Source organism: Homo sapiens, chromosome 5, assembly GCF_000001405.40.
Source record: "Homo sapiens chromosome 5, GRCh38.p14 Primary Assembly".
Lineage (NCBI taxonomy): Eukaryota > Metazoa > Chordata > Mammalia > Primates > Hominidae > Homo > Homo sapiens.
The window spans coordinates 141,508,783-141,526,502 of record NC_000005.10 but is presented as its reverse complement, the minus strand read 5'-3'; the positions used below and the strand labels follow the sequence as shown (position 1 = coordinate 141,526,502).

The 17,720-nt window shown below is 49.5% G+C and overlaps 23 protein-coding genes, 1 long non-coding RNA gene and 1 further gene across 31 annotated transcripts in view, besides 13 other annotated features; 1 reads left to right on the top strand and 24 right to left on the bottom strand.

The window, feature by feature from the left end:
* DIAPH1 (diaphanous related formin 1) overlaps positions 1–11,482 on the top strand; it is a 103,980-nt gene extending 92,498 nt beyond the window's left edge. For 4 of the 5 annotated variants that reach the window (NM_001079812.3, NM_005219.5, XM_047416885.1 and 1 more), the window contains 4 exons: positions 42–206; positions 330–465; positions 2,274–2,360; positions 9,495–11,482. In NM_001079812.3, the coding sequence (NP_001073280.1) occupies positions 42–206; positions 330–465; positions 2,274–2,360; positions 9,495–9,652 (546 nt within the window). In that variant the 3' untranslated portion in view covers positions 9,653–11,482. Of the gene's footprint in view, positions 1–41; positions 207–329; positions 466–2,273; positions 2,361–7,506; positions 7,560–9,494 lie in introns of all 5 variants that reach the window. The other variant, NM_001314007.2, reaches the window with a different exon arrangement.
* Positions 4,987–5,281: an enhancer, noted in NCBI's record as "tiled region #13534; K562 Activating DNase matched - State 14:Gen5'". NCBI's record gives its function as "activates a minimal TATA promoter and a strong SV40 promoter by Sharpr-MPRA in K562 cells {active_cell/tissue: K562}" and the evidence as "EXISTENCE:reporter gene assay evidence [ECO:0000049][PMID:27701403]".
* On the bottom strand, positions 5,867–9,495 carry LOC124901091 (uncharacterized). Its single transcript, XR_007058971.1, has 2 exons — positions 8,855–9,495; positions 5,867–7,522 (listed from the first exon to the last, which is right to left on the bottom strand). It is a non-coding gene; the product is annotated as an uncharacterized LOC124901091 (long non-coding RNA).
* Positions 9,214–9,839: an enhancer, noted in NCBI's record as "H3K27ac-H3K4me1 hESC enhancer chr5:140896231-140896856 (GRCh37/hg19 assembly coordinates)". NCBI's record gives its function as "activates a minimal SCP1, AML or CMV promoter by ChIP-STARR-seq in primed H9 embryonic stem cells {active_cell/tissue: H9 hESC(primed)}" and the evidence as "EXISTENCE:reporter gene assay evidence [ECO:0000049][PMID:30033119]".
* Positions 9,840–10,465: an enhancer, noted in NCBI's record as "H3K27ac-H3K4me1 hESC enhancer chr5:140895605-140896230 (GRCh37/hg19 assembly coordinates)". NCBI's record gives its function as "activates a minimal SCP1, AML or CMV promoter by ChIP-STARR-seq in primed H9 embryonic stem cells {active_cell/tissue: H9 hESC(primed)}" and the evidence as "EXISTENCE:reporter gene assay evidence [ECO:0000049][PMID:30033119]".
* Positions 11,092–11,717: an enhancer, noted in NCBI's record as "H3K27ac-H3K4me1 hESC enhancer chr5:140894353-140894978 (GRCh37/hg19 assembly coordinates)". NCBI's record gives its function as "activates a minimal SCP1, AML or CMV promoter by ChIP-STARR-seq in naive H9 embryonic stem cells {active_cell/tissue: H9 hESC(naive)}" and the evidence as "EXISTENCE:reporter gene assay evidence [ECO:0000049][PMID:30033119]".
* Positions 11,689–11,938: an enhancer, noted in NCBI's record as "active region_23306". NCBI's record gives its function as "activates an Ori minimal core promoter by ATAC-STARR-seq in GM12878 lymphoblastoid cells {active_cell/tissue: GM12878}" and the evidence as "EXISTENCE:reporter gene assay evidence [ECO:0000049][PMID:35858748]".
* Positions 11,689–12,343: a biological region, named in NCBI's record as "H3K27ac-H3K4me1 hESC enhancer GRCh37_chr5:140893727-140894352".
* Positions 11,718–12,343: an enhancer, noted in NCBI's record as "H3K27ac-H3K4me1 hESC enhancer chr5:140893727-140894352 (GRCh37/hg19 assembly coordinates)". NCBI's record gives its function as "activates a minimal SCP1, AML or CMV promoter by ChIP-STARR-seq in naive and primed H9 embryonic stem cells {active_cell/tissue: H9 hESC(naive and primed)}" and the evidence as "EXISTENCE:reporter gene assay evidence [ECO:0000049][PMID:30033119]".
* Positions 12,344–12,969: an enhancer, noted in NCBI's record as "H3K27ac-H3K4me1 hESC enhancer chr5:140893101-140893726 (GRCh37/hg19 assembly coordinates)". NCBI's record gives its function as "activates a minimal SCP1, AML or CMV promoter by ChIP-STARR-seq in naive H9 embryonic stem cells {active_cell/tissue: H9 hESC(naive)}" and the evidence as "EXISTENCE:reporter gene assay evidence [ECO:0000049][PMID:30033119]".
* Positions 12,679–12,798: an enhancer, noted in NCBI's record as "active region_23305". NCBI's record gives its function as "activates an Ori minimal core promoter by ATAC-STARR-seq in GM12878 lymphoblastoid cells {active_cell/tissue: GM12878}" and the evidence as "EXISTENCE:reporter gene assay evidence [ECO:0000049][PMID:35858748]".
* The window catches only part of PCDHG@ (protocadherin gamma cluster), a 182,295-nt gene continuing 178,098 nt past the window's right edge, over positions 13,524–17,720 (bottom strand).
* PCDHGA1 (protocadherin gamma subfamily A, 1) overlaps positions 13,528–17,720 on the bottom strand; it is a 182,462-nt gene continuing 178,269 nt past the window's right edge. Inside the window, exon 4 of the mRNA NM_018912.3 lies at positions 13,528–15,556. Within this exon, the coding sequence (NP_061735.1) occupies positions 15,330–15,556 (227 nt within the window). The 3' untranslated portion in view covers positions 13,528–15,329. The remainder of the gene's footprint in view (positions 15,557–17,720) is intronic.
* The window catches only part of PCDHGA2 (protocadherin gamma subfamily A, 2), a 174,216-nt gene continuing 170,023 nt past the window's right edge, over positions 13,528–17,720 (bottom strand). Inside the window, exon 4 of the mRNA NM_018915.4 lies at positions 13,528–15,556. Coding sequence (NP_061738.1) covers positions 15,330–15,556 — 227 coding nt within the window. The 3' untranslated portion in view covers positions 13,528–15,329. The remainder of the gene's footprint in view (positions 15,557–17,720) is intronic.
* Positions 13,528–17,720, bottom strand: part of PCDHGA3 (protocadherin gamma subfamily A, 3) — a 169,147-nt gene continuing 164,954 nt past the window's right edge. Inside the window, exon 4 of the mRNA NM_018916.4 lies at positions 13,528–15,556. Within this exon, the coding sequence (NP_061739.2) occupies positions 15,330–15,556 (227 nt within the window). The 3' untranslated portion in view covers positions 13,528–15,329. The remainder of the gene's footprint in view (positions 15,557–17,720) is intronic.
* PCDHGB1 (protocadherin gamma subfamily B, 1) overlaps positions 13,528–17,720 on the bottom strand; it is a 162,877-nt gene continuing 158,684 nt past the window's right edge. Inside the window, exon 4 of the mRNA NM_018922.3 lies at positions 13,528–15,556. Coding sequence (NP_061745.1) covers positions 15,330–15,556 — 227 coding nt within the window. The 3' untranslated portion in view covers positions 13,528–15,329. The remainder of the gene's footprint in view (positions 15,557–17,720) is intronic.
* The window catches only part of PCDHGA4 (protocadherin gamma subfamily A, 4), a 157,955-nt gene continuing 153,762 nt past the window's right edge, over positions 13,528–17,720 (bottom strand). Inside the window, exon 4 of the mRNA NM_018917.4 lies at positions 13,528–15,556. Within this exon, the coding sequence (NP_061740.2) occupies positions 15,330–15,556 (227 nt within the window). The 3' untranslated portion in view covers positions 13,528–15,329. The remainder of the gene's footprint in view (positions 15,557–17,720) is intronic.
* The window catches only part of PCDHGB2 (protocadherin gamma subfamily B, 2), a 152,982-nt gene continuing 148,789 nt past the window's right edge, over positions 13,528–17,720 (bottom strand). The window contains exon 4 of the mRNA NM_018923.3: positions 13,528–15,556. Coding sequence (NP_061746.1) covers positions 15,330–15,556 — 227 coding nt within the window. The 3' untranslated portion in view covers positions 13,528–15,329. The remainder of the gene's footprint in view (positions 15,557–17,720) is intronic.
* The window catches only part of PCDHGA5 (protocadherin gamma subfamily A, 5), a 148,814-nt gene continuing 144,621 nt past the window's right edge, over positions 13,528–17,720 (bottom strand). Inside the window, exon 4 of the mRNA NM_018918.3 lies at positions 13,528–15,556. Coding sequence (NP_061741.1) covers positions 15,330–15,556 — 227 coding nt within the window. The 3' untranslated portion in view covers positions 13,528–15,329. The remainder of the gene's footprint in view (positions 15,557–17,720) is intronic.
* PCDHGB3 (protocadherin gamma subfamily B, 3) overlaps positions 13,528–17,720 on the bottom strand; it is a 142,734-nt gene continuing 138,541 nt past the window's right edge. The window contains exon 4 of the mRNA NM_018924.5: positions 13,528–15,556. Within this exon, the coding sequence (NP_061747.2) occupies positions 15,330–15,556 (227 nt within the window). The 3' untranslated portion in view covers positions 13,528–15,329. The remainder of the gene's footprint in view (positions 15,557–17,720) is intronic.
* The window catches only part of PCDHGA6 (protocadherin gamma subfamily A, 6), a 139,085-nt gene continuing 134,892 nt past the window's right edge, over positions 13,528–17,720 (bottom strand). The window contains exon 4 of the mRNA NM_018919.3: positions 13,528–15,556. Within this exon, the coding sequence (NP_061742.1) occupies positions 15,330–15,556 (227 nt within the window). The 3' untranslated portion in view covers positions 13,528–15,329. The remainder of the gene's footprint in view (positions 15,557–17,720) is intronic.
* Positions 13,528–17,720, bottom strand: part of PCDHGA7 (protocadherin gamma subfamily A, 7) — a 130,234-nt gene continuing 126,041 nt past the window's right edge. Inside the window, exon 4 of the mRNA NM_018920.4 lies at positions 13,528–15,556. Within this exon, the coding sequence (NP_061743.1) occupies positions 15,330–15,556 (227 nt within the window). The 3' untranslated portion in view covers positions 13,528–15,329. The remainder of the gene's footprint in view (positions 15,557–17,720) is intronic.
* Positions 13,528–17,720, bottom strand: part of PCDHGB4 (protocadherin gamma subfamily B, 4) — a 125,278-nt gene continuing 121,085 nt past the window's right edge. Inside the window, exon 4 of the mRNA NM_003736.4 lies at positions 13,528–15,556. Within this exon, the coding sequence (NP_003727.1) occupies positions 15,330–15,556 (227 nt within the window). The 3' untranslated portion in view covers positions 13,528–15,329. The remainder of the gene's footprint in view (positions 15,557–17,720) is intronic.
* The window catches only part of PCDHGA8 (protocadherin gamma subfamily A, 8), a 120,343-nt gene continuing 116,150 nt past the window's right edge, over positions 13,528–17,720 (bottom strand). The window contains exon 4 of the mRNA NM_032088.2: positions 13,528–15,556. Coding sequence (NP_114477.1) covers positions 15,330–15,556 — 227 coding nt within the window. The 3' untranslated portion in view covers positions 13,528–15,329. The remainder of the gene's footprint in view (positions 15,557–17,720) is intronic.
* PCDHGB5 (protocadherin gamma subfamily B, 5) overlaps positions 13,528–17,720 on the bottom strand; it is a 115,029-nt gene continuing 110,836 nt past the window's right edge. The window contains exon 4 of the mRNA NM_018925.3: positions 13,528–15,556. Coding sequence (NP_061748.1) covers positions 15,330–15,556 — 227 coding nt within the window. The 3' untranslated portion in view covers positions 13,528–15,329. The remainder of the gene's footprint in view (positions 15,557–17,720) is intronic.
* PCDHGA9 (protocadherin gamma subfamily A, 9) overlaps positions 13,528–17,720 on the bottom strand; it is a 110,198-nt gene continuing 106,005 nt past the window's right edge. The window contains exon 4 of the mRNA NM_018921.3: positions 13,528–15,556. Within this exon, the coding sequence (NP_061744.1) occupies positions 15,330–15,556 (227 nt within the window). The 3' untranslated portion in view covers positions 13,528–15,329. The remainder of the gene's footprint in view (positions 15,557–17,720) is intronic.
* Positions 13,528–17,720, bottom strand: part of PCDHGB6 (protocadherin gamma subfamily B, 6) — a 104,955-nt gene continuing 100,762 nt past the window's right edge. Inside the window, exon 4 of the mRNA NM_018926.3 lies at positions 13,528–15,556. Coding sequence (NP_061749.1) covers positions 15,330–15,556 — 227 coding nt within the window. The 3' untranslated portion in view covers positions 13,528–15,329. The remainder of the gene's footprint in view (positions 15,557–17,720) is intronic.
* PCDHGA10 (protocadherin gamma subfamily A, 10) overlaps positions 13,528–17,720 on the bottom strand; it is a 99,989-nt gene continuing 95,796 nt past the window's right edge. Inside the window, exon 4 of the mRNA NM_018913.3 lies at positions 13,528–15,556. Coding sequence (NP_061736.1) covers positions 15,330–15,556 — 227 coding nt within the window. The 3' untranslated portion in view covers positions 13,528–15,329. The remainder of the gene's footprint in view (positions 15,557–17,720) is intronic.
* PCDHGB7 (protocadherin gamma subfamily B, 7) overlaps positions 13,528–17,720 on the bottom strand; it is a 95,299-nt gene continuing 91,106 nt past the window's right edge. The window contains exon 4 of the mRNA NM_018927.4: positions 13,528–15,556. Coding sequence (NP_061750.1) covers positions 15,330–15,556 — 227 coding nt within the window. The 3' untranslated portion in view covers positions 13,528–15,329. The remainder of the gene's footprint in view (positions 15,557–17,720) is intronic.
* The window catches only part of PCDHGA11 (protocadherin gamma subfamily A, 11), a 91,925-nt gene continuing 87,732 nt past the window's right edge, over positions 13,528–17,720 (bottom strand). For both annotated transcript variants that reach the window (NM_018914.3, NM_032092.2), the window contains exon 4: positions 13,528–15,556. In NM_018914.3, coding sequence (NP_061737.1) covers positions 15,330–15,556 — 227 coding nt within the window. In that variant the 3' untranslated portion in view covers positions 13,528–15,329. The remainder of the gene's footprint in view (positions 15,557–17,720) is intronic.
* PCDHGA12 (protocadherin gamma subfamily A, 12) overlaps positions 13,528–17,720 on the bottom strand; it is an 82,469-nt gene continuing 78,276 nt past the window's right edge. Inside the window, exon 4 of the mRNA NM_003735.3 lies at positions 13,528–15,556. Coding sequence (NP_003726.1) covers positions 15,330–15,556 — 227 coding nt within the window. The 3' untranslated portion in view covers positions 13,528–15,329. The remainder of the gene's footprint in view (positions 15,557–17,720) is intronic.
* PCDHGC3 (protocadherin gamma subfamily C, 3) overlaps positions 13,528–17,720 on the bottom strand; it is a 37,010-nt gene continuing 32,817 nt past the window's right edge. For both annotated transcript variants that reach the window (NM_002588.4, NM_032403.3), the window contains exon 4: positions 13,528–15,556. In NM_002588.4, coding sequence (NP_002579.2) covers positions 15,330–15,556 — 227 coding nt within the window. In that variant the 3' untranslated portion in view covers positions 13,528–15,329. The remainder of the gene's footprint in view (positions 15,557–17,720) is intronic.
* The window catches only part of PCDHGC4 (protocadherin gamma subfamily C, 4), a 27,946-nt gene continuing 23,753 nt past the window's right edge, over positions 13,528–17,720 (bottom strand). For both annotated transcript variants that reach the window (NM_018928.3, NM_001386884.1), the window contains exon 4: positions 13,528–15,556. In NM_018928.3, coding sequence (NP_061751.1) covers positions 15,330–15,556 — 227 coding nt within the window. In that variant the 3' untranslated portion in view covers positions 13,528–15,329. The remainder of the gene's footprint in view (positions 15,557–17,720) is intronic.
* PCDHGC5 (protocadherin gamma subfamily C, 5) overlaps positions 13,528–17,720 on the bottom strand; it is a 23,895-nt gene continuing 19,702 nt past the window's right edge. The window contains exon 4 of the mRNA NM_018929.3: positions 13,528–15,556. Coding sequence (NP_061752.1) covers positions 15,330–15,556 — 227 coding nt within the window. The 3' untranslated portion in view covers positions 13,528–15,329. The remainder of the gene's footprint in view (positions 15,557–17,720) is intronic.
* Positions 15,208–15,317: an enhancer, noted in NCBI's record as "active region_23304". NCBI's record gives its function as "activates an Ori minimal core promoter by ATAC-STARR-seq in GM12878 lymphoblastoid cells {active_cell/tissue: GM12878}" and the evidence as "EXISTENCE:reporter gene assay evidence [ECO:0000049][PMID:35858748]".
* Positions 15,898–15,987: an enhancer, noted in NCBI's record as "active region_23303". NCBI's record gives its function as "activates an Ori minimal core promoter by ATAC-STARR-seq in GM12878 lymphoblastoid cells {active_cell/tissue: GM12878}" and the evidence as "EXISTENCE:reporter gene assay evidence [ECO:0000049][PMID:35858748]".
* Positions 17,162–17,662: an enhancer, noted in NCBI's record as "H3K4me1 hESC enhancer chr5:140888408-140888908 (GRCh37/hg19 assembly coordinates)". NCBI's record gives its function as "activates a minimal SCP1, AML or CMV promoter by ChIP-STARR-seq in naive H9 embryonic stem cells {active_cell/tissue: H9 hESC(naive)}" and the evidence as "EXISTENCE:reporter gene assay evidence [ECO:0000049][PMID:30033119]".
* Positions 17,298–17,347: an enhancer, noted in NCBI's record as "active region_23302". NCBI's record gives its function as "activates an Ori minimal core promoter by ATAC-STARR-seq in GM12878 lymphoblastoid cells {active_cell/tissue: GM12878}" and the evidence as "EXISTENCE:reporter gene assay evidence [ECO:0000049][PMID:35858748]".

The following is a 17,720-nucleotide window of genomic DNA, read 5'->3' as shown; positions in this document are numbered from 1 at the left end:
CTTCTTGGTCTTGGTCTTGGTCCTTTACTCCTTGGCTGCACAGCTTTGTGAAGGATGCACAGGAACAGTATAACAAGCTGCGGATGATGCATTCTAACATGGAGACCCTCTATAAGGAGCTGGGCGAGTACTTCCTCTTTGACCCCAAGAAGTTGTCTGTTGAAGAATTTTTCATGGATCTTCACAATTTTCGGAATATGTTTTTGGTGAGCAAGGGATACTTGCTGACTGAATCTTTTGTGGGCATTTCTCACTTTCCCCTGGGTTCCTGTTGGCTGGTAGTAGGTATACAATGCCCATGTGTTCCTTCCTCCTCTTCCCTGCCCCAGCAAGCAGTCAAGGAGAACCAGAAGCGGCGGGAGACAGAAGAAAAGATGAGGCGAGCAAAACTAGCCAAGGAGAAGGCAGAGAAGGAGCGGCTAGAGAAGCAGCAGAAGAGAGAGCAACTCATAGACATGAATGCAGGTGAGGAGTGAAGACGGGTTGATGGGCTGAGATAGGAATGTTGGGAAGACTTCTCTGCCTAGAGTCTAGAGGCAGAGTCTCATGTCTGAGCTCACCTCCTGGCAAATGATTTTTGGCAGTCTTCACTCCGAGATCCTGATGCCGGACTTTAACCCCAATTCTGATACATGCGCATTCCAACTTGCCCTGGTTAAACTATTACCTTTTCTCTCCTTTGCTCGCTCTTGCATTCTCTCTCATTCCCCTGTGATTGTGGTATTGCTGTGATATATACTGTTTTCCTTCTGTCCATCCAAAGGTTCCTCTGGCCTGTTCTCATTCCCTCCACTAAATCTTTCGGGTTTTTTTCTGTAAAATATTTTCCTGACGCTCCTCCCATCTTTTAATTGTGGCGTGTCTTCCCTTTCTGCTTATTTCACAAAGTACTATGTCCCTAGTACCTTAGCACAGTTGTATGCACAATTAGATTTTAAATGGATTGAACTTTTGGAGCGGGTGGGGAGCCGGTCACCCTCTTCTTTCTTCAGCAGAATCTCTGTTTCACTACCAGAAGCATGTCTTTGTTGAAACATATGGTTTCAATTACTGGCCCTCTGTTTCCTGTCTCTGCTTCTTTCTTGCTGCAGATTCCCTACCCCTTCGCCCCCACTGCTCTCTCTGTGGGCAGCGGAAATACAGCATACACTGCTCACACAGCACTGAGCCCATGCCACCCTCCTCTAAACCTGAGGGGCCACAAACCTTCTGCAAATGAAGAGGTGTTCACAGAGCTGCTGAGTTTGTTAGGAATCAGTATTTTACAGAGCACAGGCACAAGGGCTGCTCTGATACCTCTTGCTACCAGGGACTTTTTATACTTTTCTGTAAAGCAATTTCCTTGCCCTTAGTTGTAAGCCACAACTTCGTAATGCTATTAAAGCCCACACCAAGTATCCTTCACCTTCCCCTGGGACTCCAGGGTTTGTCCCCAGGTACTGGCTAGGATGCAGTGGGGGAAGGTGGAGTCCCGCTGACATGTGGGATGAGGGCTGCACACGGTCAACAGGTGGCGTAATGGACCTTGCCCAGTTTCCAGTACCCGGGTCAAGCAAATGAGGGTGGAATGTAGGTCAGCTGCACTGGTGATGCTCAGCCAGCAGGTGGCGCTGGGAGCAGTGAGCCCCAGCCTTGGATCTGGCAGCCTATGGACTTTTTGGGATTTCACAGTTTCAGATTTCACTATCCTAAGCTGTTGTCATGGAAACCGAGCCAGGCTAGAACAAGGATTCTACATTAACTCTTTGTATTCCAGCCAGGCTGCTCCTCTTAGATGCAGAGGACTTAGACATCAGGAAGACTTAGCCACTGGAGGCAGTACTTCAGGAAAGTGCACTCTTTGATCAGTGGTCTTTCCTCGGCCCTGCTCTGAAACCTAACCAGGCAAAACACTTTAGGATAAAAGGGAGTGATATAGTTGCTTAGTAATTTCACAATCGTAGTCTCTACTTATCCTGGTCTTGGAGTTGGGCAGTTGTATAATTTTGTTGCTAGTCCTGATTGGGGTGGGGAGGATGGCATTGCGGGAAAATATCCCAAGGTCTGCATTGGATAATAGGCAATGAGATCTTTTGTTTTAACCATTTTTTAGCAGATACAAGTAAACATGAGCGTGTGAGACTTAAGGCTGAGCTCTCTTTGCCTCTTCTTAGCTGCCAGCTGCTGTGGGAGAGGGGAAATCAAGCAATAGCCATTCATTTTGTGTGGGGCTTGATATTTGCCATGCTGCTCTGGCTGAAGAGTTCACATCTCCATCTTGTTCTTTATAACAGAGGGCGATGAGACAGGTGTGATGGACAGTCTTCTAGAAGCCCTGCAGTCAGGGGCAGCATTCCGACGGAAGAGAGGGCCCCGTCAAGGTAAGTAAGCACATGGAGCTCATCCTGGGTGTCGAAGGGGGTGAGGGCTCTCTACTCCTGCCAGTCTGCGGCTAAAGAGCAAATAATGATGCTCTAAGCATCTTTTTAGTCCCTGCATCCAGAACGGATTATCTAGTCCTCTTCTTCCCATGTTACAGAGTAGCGACTTAGAAAACTGGGGTTTAAGGGACTGGCAATAAATCAGTTACATTGGATTATGCCGCATTTCTCCCCACTCTTGAAGCAGATATTTGGAACAAAGGAACTGAGCTGCAGGACCCAGGGATTTGAGTTGGCATTTGTGTGTATGAACAAAAGTTGATCTAAATACAAAATGTATATTAGATATAGATTGAAATTCAAAGAAAAAATAAGTCAGAGTCCTTACTCTGGACTTCACAAGCAGAAGACATACGTAGAGAGAACTAATAATAGAAAGTATAAAATTTTGTAGACAGGTTTAGGCATCATTATTCCCAGATAGAAAAATATAGAGGAGCATCTCAGTTGAAGGATTATGCCGTGTCTGAAAACTACCTTTTCCTTGAGTGCAGTTAGCCTCTATTGCCCTTGCCTTCCCCATCACTGCCCTGCAATCTCCTTTCATGTCCTTTGGAAGATCTAAGTGGATTACATTGAGCTAGAGATTCTAAAAAGAATTATGGAGCTAGGACAAGTGATCCAGGCATTAGTATGGGAAAAGATTAATGAATAAGTTCCCTTTCAGGGAAGCTTACAGTGGCCAAGAGACTAATTCAAAGGAAGGTATAGGCAAGTCTGCCCCTCATGTGGAGTTGACCTGCACTATCGTGTCTAGTGAAGGTCTTTTGAGGCTAGGAGTGGTGGCTTCTTTACTAATTTGAAGAGTGGGAATTACAAAAAAAGGCATCATTAGAGGTTTCTACTTCAGAGGGACTTAAATCTATGTTCCCTGTTTCCTGGCTGTTGCATTGTGTAGGCCCATTTGATAGTTATACTTTGAGATTATTGTAAACAGAAGGAGTTAACACAGCTTGCTTTGGCCAGTGCTTAGCTATTAATACAGTGGTATCTGTAGGGCCTGTAGTACCTGCCACAGCCTGGAAAGGGGGACCTTAGAGCATGCTAGCCTATGTAAACTCAGTATTCTGGCCCAACAACAGCCATCACTGTGAGTTTCATCTGTAATGGCTGGCTGCCCATTTCTACCTATACTCTGAATAACCAGAGTGATACTCCCTTCTGAGGGTTCTCTTGTATGACTTCAGAATGTTCCCCAAACTGAAAGCTCCCGAGTCAAAGTTCTTACCCATTTTCTGGCATTCTCTGAGTACAGGCTTTCTAAAGCGTGGGGAGAAGTGGATATGAAGAGCTGAGTACTCTCTGGGCTCGAGCATTTAGTCTTATAGATAGGTGTTTGCAAGGAGAGTACAGCTAGAGGTACTATTACTCCTGTATTTTGTCTTTATAGGTTCTTACAACATTATTTCCTACTGACCACACAAGGTGATGTGGCCTTAACATTAAGCATTTCTAGCCTTACAAAAATACATTGCATCTTATTGTTTTTTTTTTTTTTTTTTTTGACCCCGTCGGCTAAGTGCCTGCATCAGAATTTTGGTGGGGAATTCCCTTTTAAGCCTCTTCCTGTGGAACTATACTAGAATCCCAGATGCTTCCTGTCCACAGGTAGCCAGACATCAGTGGCTTCCCTCTGCTGGGGAAGCCCCATTCTTCACTTCTTTCCAAGTAGAAAATCAGAACTCACAGGTGGAGGAAGGAGGAATTTTGTTGGAAACTAACCTTCCAGCAGAGGACCTGAATTAGTCAAAGTACTCTCTCCCATGCAAGAGGGAATAGGAGGAGACTTATACTAGGAGATACTAAATTGGAAAGTAGGTGAAATGACAATTACATATATTTTAAGTGGCTCTAGCCTATAAGCTTATCTTTCTAGGCTCTGGGTCCACTAAATACACTTGAATATATCTGGGAGAATCTCAAGGGAGACATTTGTAGTTATTCTGGTAACTCTTTAGACCCTGGTGCATTCACATCATGTAAAGTGATGTGATGCGGTCTCACATTAAACAGGAGGATAGCCATCAGAGTAGATTACAAAGAACACAGGGCTAGGTAGGGATCAAAAGACCTAAAGTCACATCTAGTTCTGATGCTGTCTGTGTTATCCTAAGCAAGTCACTTAATGTTTCTGGGACTCAGTTCCTCAGGTATAAAATGAGAGTTGGACTAGAATGAATGGTCTGCAGGGTCCCTTCCAGCTCTAATATTTTTTTTGTGCAGTGACAACAGGATTAAGAGGAGAGAGAGGCTGGACTTAGATGGCCCCATTCTCAAAATACAAAGGCTCCACTGGCTATAGGTTTCTCTATGCAGCTACTGAATTTGGCTGTTCCACCCCTTGCCTGGCTGTCTCTGACTATTCCTCTTGGCTGATTGCTTTGAGCTAAAAAAACAGAGGCACTGTGGAACATATCTGCCTCATAGCCCTCCTTTTTTCCAGAGAGGCAGCTGTCCCTATTCAAAGACACTAGCTTTTTCCCTAGAATTTAAAGGAATGTTAAATTCTTCCGGTCTCTGGAGACCTGGGGGAGTGACCAGTATACAAAGACTCATTGAGGAGTTGGAAGAGGAGAGTTACTATCAGGCTTGGTTCATTAAAAGCAACATGTAAACTCCTGTGATCCGCAGGGTGTGGGAGAACAATGGTTGGAGTGTCAAGGGGAAGAATCCATGTGATTGTATTACAGCTGCTATTTCAGGCCCATGATTGAGTCAGCTTGTGGTTTTAATGACTCAACTTTATCTCCATGTCTGAATTGTGGCCTCTTGTATACAAGTCATTTGCTCACTGGGATAAAAGCCAAGGGAAGAAAGAAATTCAACTCTTCCTTTCCTTCCCTCTACCATTTCCCAGCTTCCCTATAAGCTCCATCCATCTAACAGAACCATAGAGTTGGAAAGACTCTAAAGACTTCCAGTGATTAGTATCTAACCTTCTCATAGGGAAAGGGATTAAAACCAGATAAGGTGACTAACACGGTGAAACTCTGTCTCTACCAAAAATACAAAAAATTAGCCGGGCGTGGTGGCAGGCACCTGTAGTCCCAGCTACTCAGGAGGCTGAGGCAGGAGAATGGCATGAACCCAGGAGGCGGAGCTTGCAGTGAGCCGAGATTGCGCCACTGCACTTCAGCCTGGGTGACAGAATGAGACTCCATCTCAAAAAAATAAAAATAAAAAACAGATAAAGTCTTGCCCAGGTCTACATGGCTAATGACAGAGCACTGTAGCCCACTTTTGTGACTCCAAGTCCAGGCCTGTTTCCCCTCAGCCTGCGTGATTGAACAGGAGACAGCAGTGAACCCACAGTATGGGCCGGAAATATTCTTTCATACCTTCCAGCAAGGAGAGTCGGACATAATGACATTGCTTCAGGAAGGTGCTCTCATGACCACCTGTGTTAGTCTATTTTGTATTATTATAAAGAAATACTGGAGACTGGGTAATTTATAAAGAAAAGGGGTTTATTTGGCTGACAGTTCTGCAGACTGTAGAGAAAGCATGGCGCCAGCATCTGCTGTTGAGGCCTCAGGAAGCTTCCAATCAAGGGGGGAGAAGGTGTATCACAAGGCGGAAGTGGGAGCTAGAGAGATGCCAGGCTCTTTTAAACAACCAGTGCTTGTATGAGCTCATTACTGTGGGGAGGGCACCAAGCCACTCATAAGGGATCCACCCCATGACCCAAGTGCCTCCCACTAGGCCCCACCTCCAACATTGTAGTCCACATTTCAGCATGAGGTTTGGAGGGGTCATACATCCAAACCATATCACCTCCTATCTAGAGAAGGTTGCTAAGAATATTTCCTGTACCACTGCTTATTCTCCCCCCTACTTTTGTAAATAGGACAAGAAACATAATTAGCAGAGTTTGAGACAAGAATGAGTTATTTAGTGTGATGATGATTGCCCCATCTGTCCTAGTTTCCTCTTCCCTAAGGAAGCTTAATGTATTAACAAGAGCACTTCCTCTTTAGTAATAGTTCCTAGCCTACGTTTTATAAAGGTCTTTTTTCAAATCACTAACCTTTTTAAAACTTGCGTTATATGGTTGATTTTGCTGGTGTTTTTATCCTAGCCCACCCCTAACTTCTAGGAATCTGTCCTCAGAGAGCATTCACCAGTATCTCAACATTGTTCCCTTTTCCCACACAGCCTGTGGGACTGTTCTCTTGTAGTCAAAATATTTATCTGGTTCTATGGCTACTTTTCAATAGTCTAATAACAAGTGAGTAAGTTGGGGGAAGCATGGGGAGGTCAGTTTTTCTTGACTGTTCAACCTGCTGAGCATAATGGTGAGTGAGTGGAAAGCTGGGAGACCTGTTCCAACAAGAGCTTTCTCATCCCCTGACCTTAGGCCAAATCACACCCTCCCTGGTGTATAGGCTTTCAAGGCTTAAAAGGGAAATTTTGATCTTCTCCCTACCTACTCTCTGCTCCTGGTTCTTATGAAGTTTGTAATACATCAGAAGCTTCTTGAGTCCAGAAAAGTCTAGAAACACCACTTGGTTAGGTACAACTGGTATCTTCTTATTTTGGAGGAAGAAACCACAGAAAGCAGCAGCTAAAGACCTACCACATGGGACCTCTGCCTTCTCCTGTGTTGCCCAGGACAAGTGGCCCAGTGTTCTTTTCCCAAGGTCTGGAGTCAGATGTTATTTCAACATATATATACCACTAGAGTTACACACACACACACACATGCACAGAGTCGCAGTGTCTTCTCAACTGTTGGAGACTGAATTCAAAGAAATAATAAAATGATAGGAAACTACTACCCTTCTGGATATGAGAAATGGGGTCTAGAGAGGGAGTACTTCAGAAGAGAGTGGAAATGTAGGAGGCCTGAGGAAGATTTTGGTGGTAAGGACAGTATGAGAAATGCACACATGTAGACCATCATAGTCACACTCACGTAGGCTCCTTTTCCTCACTTGTCTCAGTCACGGGGCATTAGTTTATGTTCATAATCCAATAAATGGTTTTGTGAAAATCCCACAGTCTCGGGCACATACCTATGATCTGTAACTAGATAAGTCCTGTGGCTGTCAGTCAGGGTCTTCACTATTCTTTCTCCTCTTGGTAGACAACCTCTTGTGCCCCTGGGAAGTAGAGGAGGAGGAGGAGACCTTTAAATTGGTAACCTGTGTGCATGCTGCGTGTTCCCTGCTTGATCTATGGGCAGCCTCTCCTGGGATGAAAACAGTAGCTCTGGGTCATGGCTCTGCAGGGAGAGAAGACCTGGTTAAGACTTGGGCTTTGGCAGGCTGTGGTGACTCATGCTTGTAATCCCAGAACTTTAGGTTCCAAGGTGGGAGGATTGCTTGAGCCCAGGAGTTCAAGACCAGCCTAGACAACATGGAGAGACCCCATCTCTGCAAAAAAATACAAAAATAGCCAGATATGGTGGCACATGCTTATAGTCCCAGCTACTAGGGAGGCTGAGGTGGGTGGATCACTTGAGCCTGGGAGGTTGAGGCTACGGTGAGCTGTGATTGCGCTGCTGCACTCCAGCCTGGGCGACTGAGATTCCATCAAAAAAAAAAAAAAAAAGACGGGCTATCTGATCCTGTTTGGCTTCTGCCTACCTAAAGCTTTTTGCTGGTCCAAAAAGGCGCTTCATTCCAGTCATGCAGCTGCCCCAGTCTTGGTCTTTATTTAGGAGTGCTCGGCTCTTTCATCTGGTCCTGCTTCTAAAACATTCCGGTACTGCTTTCTCCACTCCAGCTTTCCCAGATCTCCAGGAAGTCTTTTTTTTTTTTTTTTTTTTCCAATTGAGCTATCATTTACATACCTAAAATTCACCTTTTAAAAATGTATAATTCAGGGGTTTTAGAATATCCACAAGATTGTATAACCATTACTATCTAATTCCAGGACGTTTCATCATCCCCAGAAGAAAAACTTCATAATCCCCATTAGCAGTCACTACTGATTCTCCCCTCCCCTTGCCTCTGGCAACCACCAGTCTATTTTCTATCTCTGGGTTTGCCTGTGCTGGACATTTCGCAGAAGCTGACCCATAACATATGGCCTTTCGTGTCAGGCTTCTTTCGTCCCAGACAGCTGTTTGTGTATACACAGTTGCTCTGTGCTGTTCTGGGGCATGGGAGGAGGAAACATCATGAGATGGGCATGGTCTCAAGGAGTGGCCTTCCTGCTGCAGATACTGGGGCCATAAGCCTAGATACCATAAATGAATATGAGAGTCTTGGGGATGAAACCCAGCAGTTAGAACAGAAACTCGTGGATTGATTTGGTTCTTCTTTTCTAATCTGGTATGACAGCCGGAACTTGACCATCTCTTAGCCACCTGGGCTGAGATTTCTTGGTAGGGGTCCTCTCCTGTCCATCTTTATCCCAGTTCTGCTTCCCTGGCATAGTTTTTATTACTACCTCCCCCCCGCCATGCCACCCCCACATACTCTACACACCTTGTAGGGCCCTTGGCATTTGTATTACGGCTGCTACCTTTGAAGGGGTGGGAAAGAGCTAAGGCATGTGGGCATCTGTTGTTGGAGGAACACGTGGGAGTGCGGTGTCAGTGCGTGGCTGCTGTTCCTCTTTGCGGGAGTCTCTCCAGCCACTTACGGAAGGTTGCCTTCTGCTAGGGACAACCCTCCCAGGGCTGACTGAGAAGTGTTTTGGCCTAGGAGTTTCCTGGGACCTGTCAAGAAAACAAAAATAATACTATGTACTAAACTTTAGTCTATTTAATTCCAACATCCCTATTACGAGAAAATAGACTTTGAATACTTCATCTCTCCTTAAGTCACATAGCTAACACTTCAGCCCAGTTCTGTCTGTCTGTGTTCAAACTTTTGTGCTGTTTTCACACAGGGAAGCAAGGGGGCAAGGCTTGCTTTCCTGTTGCACCACACTCTCTTACATTCTTTGCCACCCAACAATATATTCCACATGCTGGATCTCTGCCCCTTTCTTCAAAGTAAGGGCCTCTGTGAAGTGGCCAAGGTAGTCATGTCTGCATGGCTTACGCTGATTATCTGCTGTAGAGTTTGAAAGAAATTAGAAATGAGGCCTTCCATAGACAGAATCTCTCGTCTTCTCTTGCAGCCAACAGGAAGGCCGGGTGTGCAGTCACATCTCTGCTAGCTTCGGAGCTGACCAAGGATGATGCCATGGCTGCTGTTCCTGCCAAGGTGTCCAAGAACAGTGAGACATTCCCCACAATCCTTGAGGAAGCCAAGGAGTTGGTTGGCCGTGCAAGCTAATGTGGGTCCTGTGACCGCGGCAGCTCCTCAGCGGAGCCGCAGACTGTCCTGCCCTGCAGCATGTGCCTAAAGGCTCAAGGGGATATTCCTCTGGGGTGGCCACTCCCACCACCCTGACCCTGTCTTTCTCTCTGGCCTGCTGCTCTCTCAACATCACATACAGCTTCAGCTGCCTGGAGGCCAGAAGGAAAGGGCAGTGCAGGGGAGGCCTGAGCCCGACTTAGCCAGCCCTGGCTGTTGTATTACCAAAGCAGGGTCCATGTTTGCTGCCTTAACCCTGTCTCCTCTCTGTTACTCAGAGGGCCTCATCTCAGACAAGGCCCAGCCTGCTTTTTCTCAGCCCTGACTTTCTAATGGGCTTTCCCCCCTAGGTCAGTCTTGCTGGATTTGTGCTTTTCTTTTGTGGTTTCTCTGGCCCTGAGAATAGCATGGGGCTTGTAAACCTTTGGGCTAGATCCCTCCTTTCATTGCTGTTGTCTCTGCTCTTCCCTCTCCTGGCTGTGGTTATTTATTATTAGTGGTGTGGCACTGGGAGCTGCTCCTAAGGAAGCAGGGAGCAAATCCCACCTTTACCCCACCTTCCTGGGAAAGGCCTCCAAAGCAAAGGATCTGGACCAGTTTCCCTGCTGTGCTGTGGCCCAGGCCAGAGCCTGTGGGCAGGCAGGCAGGGCATAGCGACAGTGTGGGACCTGCCCCCAGCTTCTGCCACGCTTTATGCCCTTGCCTCTCTGGACGCTCTGCACCAACCCCAGGCTACTGAGCCACCTTCCCTCCTCATGCCTTCCCTGAGCTTTGGTGCATCTCATCTGGACTATGGGTTGTACTGTGACCATCCCAACACCTCACCCTCTGTCTACAAGGAAATGGGAGGTGGAGCCTCCTGGCTGAGAAATTGTTTTGCAAATGGATCTATTTTTGTATGAAAAAAAAAATTTTTTTAAAGAAAACTGTTCCTTCCCCCTTTCCCCTCCATAATGTAAGAAGCTTTGGTGGCAGGTTACAGAGTTCTGGGATTTCTTCTCACAGGCCCAATCCTGAATGTGCCCCTGGACCTTCTGGACCCTTGAGTCCAAGGCAGATCCTCTCTCCCAGGGAATCCGACACAGGAGGAACCCCTTCTCTGGTTGAGCTGGGCCAGGCCTAAGAGTAGCAGGAACTCTAAGACCACAGAGTTTTTTATAAATGTATAAATGTATCAAGCCAAATGTGCAGATGCTAACTGGACATTCTGGGGAACTGGGCACCAGGAGTGCCTTCATACACTGTACCCCAGCTCTCTTCTAAAAGAGAAGTGGGTGGGCACACTGAACTGTTTGGTGGCCCCAACCACAGGAAGCTGCAATTCTCTGGCTTAGGGTGATACTTTTGCCCTCCTTGTGCCCCTCTCAGCTTTCCATCCCCAGCTAGGAAGAAAGAATGGCACTCTTGGGCTTGGCCCAGAATTAGAGTTATTAGAGCAAGAGAGAGCTTAGGAAGCATGAGGGCAACTATAGTGAGGCCTTATTGCCAGGAGGGAGGGTTTTGGTTGCTGGCGCTTGTGTATAAAGGGGCAAGAGCAGCTCCTTTGGACTATTCCTGGGAGGACTCTGATGCAGGGCGTCTGTTGCTCCCCTGGGTCACCTCCTCCCTGCTCGCTGACATCTGGGGCTTTGACCCTTTCTTTTTTAATCTACTTTTGCTAAGATGCATTTAATAAAAAAAAAGAGAGAGAGAGAGAGGTGTGAGGGACAAAATGCAAACCTATTTCCCTTGCCTCATAGGCTTCTGGGATGTCATCACCTCCAGTTTGTTGGTTTTGTTTCCAACTGTTAATAAAGCATTGAAACAGTACTGCCTTACAGCTTCCTGTGTGAATTTCTGAGCTGTTTTCTTTTCACTCTAGTCCAGGCTCCTCTAGTCTTTCCTGCCTCAAATCCCTGGTTGACCTGACAAATCACTGTGAAAAAGCTAAAGGTGCCAGACACTTTACTTGGGCACAGGGCTAGAGATGATTAATACATGGTGGCTGCTGCCCCACCAGAGCTCACCTCAGGGCCGTTTGGCCACAGTAAAGGAGTGGGCGCCTGGTTCAGCTCCCTGACTCTTCCACATTGCTGCTACTTGGTTTGGAGCCCTTTTTTGGAACTCACTTGGAACCTTTCATGTTCCCAGATGTCACGCAAGGTTTCCTGGCAGTACCTGTGTCTCTTGCTGAGGGAAGCATCTGGCTCCCATTTTCTCATCCCCTCTGCTCTGTTGGTGGCCACAGACCACATTCCAGAGTAGAGGGGTTTACCCTGGGGTGGAAACCTGAGCCTGCCCAGCAGAGGTTGGGAGCCTGAGGTCATGCTCCAGATGACTTGCCACTTGGAGCCATACTTGTCTGAGCACGTTATGACCTGCACAAAAAAGCCAGACCAGCAATGAGCAGGCCCAGGATAGACAGGGAGAGGCCTGGAGAGGACCACAAACCCATTCGGGCGGGCTCTGGAACTGGAAATAAAAGCCTTTTAAATAGCCCTGGAGCCTGGGCAGCTGCCTCCTCAGTATGGCCTGAGGTGTGGGGATGGGTTGCCTGCCGCCTCCCTCCCGTCCCCCCGGAGGCCACGCCTTTCTGGTTCAGAGCTTTATAGGCACACATACCAATTAGGGGACAAACCACAGCTGCTCACGCGCTCTGCCAGTCTGCTGCTGTGCCTGGAATAGAACCCAGGCGCCCGGCACCCCGCCCCTCCGCAGCCTGGCTCTGAGTAACAAAACCCTGCTTCCATCTCAGCAACCGTGCACACCACCCTTCCTCCCACGCTAGAAAGTCGCCCCCAGATTCTTAAGTTGGAAGGTTTGGTTCCCATGACAACAGACTTGAGCTGGCAGAATGGGTGACCTGGCTCTGGGAGCCTCCGCAGCGCGGAGGAAGCCGCATACCCTTGCTGACCAGCCAGATAACCGCAGTGGCTCTGTCTTTGTGTTCTTGGGTCCTTCCGGGTAGTTCCCCTTTTAAGTCCCCCTTCACCCCCAGCTCCGTGTTTTTCTGCAGCTTCTCTGGCTGCAGCAACCTCGGAATCCCACAGTGCTTCGAGGAGGCAGGCGGAGGGGGCGGGGAGATGGGAGAGCAGGCGAGTGAGTGGAAAAGCACCGACAGGAAGGAGGGAGGGGAGCTGAGTCTGCGATGGATCTCATTTCCTGCACGTCCTTTCAGTCCCCTTGACCCCCGCAAGAAGAGGATGAGCCCTCCAATTTCTTAGGCTTCGCTACGGAGATGTCAGCGGGAAGGCGAATTCCAGATGGGGAAACTGAGGCTCGAGCTGCAGACTTGGCTTTGGAAGAATCACCTCCCGCATTCCCTCCCACTCCCGCGGCTTTCCCAAAACCCCTAGGCAGCGGGGGTGGGGGTGCGGGGGCAAAGGAGAGTCTACCCTCCTCCCGTGAAGCCCTCCGGGGCGCTTCGGGTAGGCAATTTTAGTCAGGAAGGGGCGGGAACTAACGAAACGTCCTCTCCCCTCTACCCAAGGCGTTTGCCCGGCGCCAACCCGCCCCCGCCCGCGCCGGGGTCTCCTCTTCTGCCTGGAGACAGCCGCAAGCTTAGACTGCACACTCCACTGCACACTGACACGCCGCACTCAGATCCCCACCCCCACAGCGGACCGATCACACAATGGCACACGGTACACAGATCCATAGGCACACAATCGCACACTGTCTCATAGGCACAACGGCATTGCAAGCATACACAACCATATTGCACAGTCACACACACACACGCAATTCGGAAACATCTAGACGCGCAATGACACAAAGTGGCCTCCCGATTCCGCCCTTCTTCCAGCACCCACCTCAGCTCATCACTTCATGCACACATGCCAGGAGCTTCCATCGCTTATACAGAAACGTTCAGCTTTTCAGAAGAAACGTTTTATTATTTTTTTGTCGAAGAAAAAAAGCCATATAAATATTAGAGTATAAAACTTGCGTGAGACACAGGAAGAGGGTGGGGTGGGAGCTACGTGACTATGCGAAGAGAAGCGCTTATAGGAGAAGTCAGTACGGGGGAGGGGGTCGCCTTAGCGCGTGGACACAGCACAAAACACAACACGGGCCGCCGCGGGCAGATCAAGGACAGACGGCTGCGCGGAGCCCGCCGCCCGCTGCCCACCCGCCATCACGTAAAAGCACACCGCACTACACTACTGGCTATTCTACACCAGCCGAAAGAGGGAGGGGGCGCTACACTACTGTAAGGGCAGGTCTGGGGTTCTCTGGCAGCCCCGCTGGATGGCCGGGGACCCAGGGGCAGAAGGGGGTGGGAGAAGAAGGTCTATGCACAAGGAGGCACTGGGGAACTTTAACCAGGCTATGGCCACTAGGGGGCGCACTGGGGACCTGGGCAGTGGCCTTCACGGAAGAGAAACGGCACCTGGCAAGGTGAAGGACTGAGGCTTCAGGAGGGCAGGGGCCCTGTTGAAGAAGCCCCATCCTGGGCTGAGACTTTCTGTTCATTTGGTCCCTGCCCTAGCTCCCTGCCTCCCCAACCCAGGGACTAAGAATGGCCTGGCTGGCCCACCCTTCCTGCTGGGGCTCCGCTGACCCTTCCACCAGTGGCACCTCTGGAGTACCCAGCACCCACAGAGGCCCCTCTGACCTCTCAAGGGGACCTGGTCCTAAACCTGCTTCGAGCTTCCTTGGACTGAAATGCCAGTTTAATCCATTGGTCCTGTTAGCTCAGCCCAAAGCTGGCTGCCTGGGCTGAGCCCTATTATGTAGTGGGAAGGGTCCAGCCTAGTTATTGGTTTATGGCTGGAATCTGGAGGATGTTGTCAGTCCCCTGAGGACATACAGAGCCTCCTCCAAGGCCTTGATAACTTGATGTGTCAAGCTTTGTCCATGCCCCCACCATCCACATCCACACACTTCCCTTCCTTATCTTACCACCCCATACTGTCTTGGAACATGCAGTGGAGTCTCTTGTTTGAGGAGGAGGTGGGGGAAGTCAAGGCATGCAGTGGAAACGTCAAACAATGAAAAACAAAACAGAAGACTGGTCCCCAGGGCGTTGGGAAGAGGCTTGGTAGCAAAATGCCCTCCCTAAATCCAGCAAGCATCAGTACCATGGGGATGGTGATCATGTCCTCCAAAACTTGAGCATTGATCTTGGGCTCTGGAAGGAGGTGAAGGGGCTGGCACCAAACCATGCTTTGGGGGAAGATTGAGAATCAAAGGAGAGGCCAAGAGGTCATGATGCCCTTCCAACTTTTCAGAACTAGGAGGCTTGTAGGTTACTTGGTACTTCAACACCCCAACCACCTTACTCGGGAAAGAGGAACTGTTGGAGTGGGGTGGGGAGGAGGGAGGCATGGGATGGATGGGCCTGATTGATTTGGAAGATGGAGGAGTTCAGCTGTAACTAAACGGGGTGTGGCAAATGGTTCTTGGTGTCTACAGTAACCCCACTACCCCCATGGGTACAGCAGTTGATTGGATGGGGGTTCCCAGCGGAACTGCTTTTGCATATTCAACCCCCTGGGGGGGAAGGGGTAGGTGCTGACTGGGCACTTGTTTCTGTTTCCCAAGGGGAGCATGGCCTTGGCCCCTACCAGTATTCTGGGGGTTAGCCCTGAAACTCTGAGGCCTGGGTGCAGGTAAGGAGAAGCTGGGCTGGTTGGGGAGAGGCCGCCCTGTGGCTCTTGGCCTGGCCTCCATGTTACTTCTTCTCCTTCTTGCCCGACTTCTTCTTGTTGCCATTGCCACCTGCTGGGGCCTTGCCATCCCGCTTGCCAGCTGCGTTGGTCAGTGTGGCATTGCTGCCTGGGATGTAGACATTCTGGCGGTAGTCGGGCACGTGCTGCAGGGTGAACTGGGGTCCGTAGCGGGCGCTCAATCCCATGGTGCCGGCACCCCCTCCCAGGGTGGAGCTCCCATCAGCAGCTTCTGCAGAGACAGAGGAAGATCAGGTGGGAGCTAAACTTAGGGTCCTCAACAGTCACTGTCTTATATCCCCAGCAGTTAATGAATGCCTATACAGCACCCTGGGCCTTGACCACGCTGAGCACTGGGAATATAGGGGTCACCAAGGTAGTCTCTCTTCACAAGAGTTGAGGGTAGAGGTTAAGAGGCTCTGGAGTGAGAAAGTCTAGGTTTGATTCCTAGCTCCTTTCCTTACTCACTGTGATCCTGGGCAAGTCTACCTAACCTCCTTATGCCACTTCAGTTTTCTCATCTGCAAAATGGGGATGATAATGGTAACCACCTCTTCTGGTTTTAGTGAATGCTAAATAAGAAAATGTATGTCAGGTACGTAAAATAGTGCCTGGTAGATGTAAGTGCTCAAAACACATTCGCTGGTATTTCTCTCAGGGCTGTGACACGGGCTCTCAGTTCCTTGCCCTGGCTTTCTCAAGGGAGCCTCTGACTCCCACACTAGACCATGGGCTCCTGGAGGGCAGCAGCCATGAAACCATGGCTTTACATGCCCCTAGCCTTTGCCAAGCAAGGCCTGGCACGAGTAGAGATTCGGTAGTTCCGTTAGTAAGTGTGTGGGGTGGGGGTGAAGAGTGCTCTTCCAAGCCTCCATTTCAAAACAGCATTTTTTTTTTTTTTTTTTTAAGATGGAGTCCTGCTCTGTCGCCCAGCCTGGAGTGCAGTGGCGCGATCCCGGCTCACTGCAACCTCTGCCTCCTGGGCTCAAGTGATTCTCCTGCCTCAACCTCCTGAGTAGCTGAGATTACAGGTGCACACCACTAGCCCAGCTAATTTTTGTATTTCAAAACAGCATTTGAGCACCTACTGTGTGCCAGGCACTCTGCTGGATGCTTCACATGCACAATCACTTTTAACCTCTACATAACAGCCCAGCCAGCTATGTGGTATGACCCTCATTTTACAGATGAGGGAACCAAGTGTTAGAAGGACCAAGGCCATACCCGGTAGCATTTGTTAGAGGGGCATTCAGGCCCAAGTGTACCTAAGCGCATGCTGGAAGGGACAGTCAGTCACCATCACCACCAGCAGCTTGGACCTTATCCCTGTTCTGAGTGAATGGGAGGTAGAGAGAAGATGGAGAAGAGCTCGGCTCTATGAAGCTGAGGAGATGATGATCTCGGGGACTAGACATCTCAGGGACACTTTAGGCACAGGCTCAGAGTGCCACAGCTAGGTGACATCAGACAGCACCTCCAGTCCAACGTCCCACTGTACAGAAGAAGAAACTGGGGCCCAGAGAAGTCCACACTCTGGCCCTGGCTCAGCATCACCCAGGAACTTGTTTAGAATGCAGCCTCTCGGAATTGCCAGCTGATTTGTACGCACTGTGAAGGCTGCTGTGAGGACTAAATGAGATGGTGCTTCATCCTGTGCAATACATCATCAACACCGTCACATCCAGCATGCCATCACCTCTACCCCTCACCTGCCCTGACTGGGTCGGGGGTGGGAGAGGAGGAAACAAGAGTTTGACTCATTGGGGCTCGCTGCTGGAGGCCCTGAGATCCTCTGTGGTTAGGAGACAGTTAAAACCTCAGGGATGCCCAGGCCAGCCCAGGCCCAGCTGGCAGTAGAGCTTCTCTCCCAGCCTCCCTCTGCCTCCACCCTGGACCCTGGGAGCGGGTAGCGAGAGTGACTAAAGCCGGAGAGGCTGAGTAATCCTGGGACATCAACCAGGGATTGAGAAATAGAGAGACAGGAAATATTTTCAAGCCGGCATAAGAGGAGGAGGGCACACGGGAGGGGAGAGCCGGGATGCGCCTCGGTTTTTCTCTTCACGCACCAGCGCTCAGGTTTCTACAGCCCCCATTTCATGTCGCAAATCCCCGGAGCTGAGAGCTTTCTGGGGGCGGGGGAGAGGGGTTGAGTGGGAGGGAGCAGCTGCCCACTTCCTCCTCTCCTACCCCAGCTGGCCCCCACCCCCAGCCCTTTCATTCCGCTGACATTTCTCTGTTTTCCCTAATTAACTCCAAAAGGAAGCCAGATCCGCCACCGCCCCGCCCCCTCCCCTCCAGCCGTCAGCCTCTTCAGCCTTTCCCAGCCTGGGAATGGAAGGGGTAGGGGAGGGGGGCCCAGATCTGGCTTCAAAGAGCCAGGATTCCAGAGTGATTTA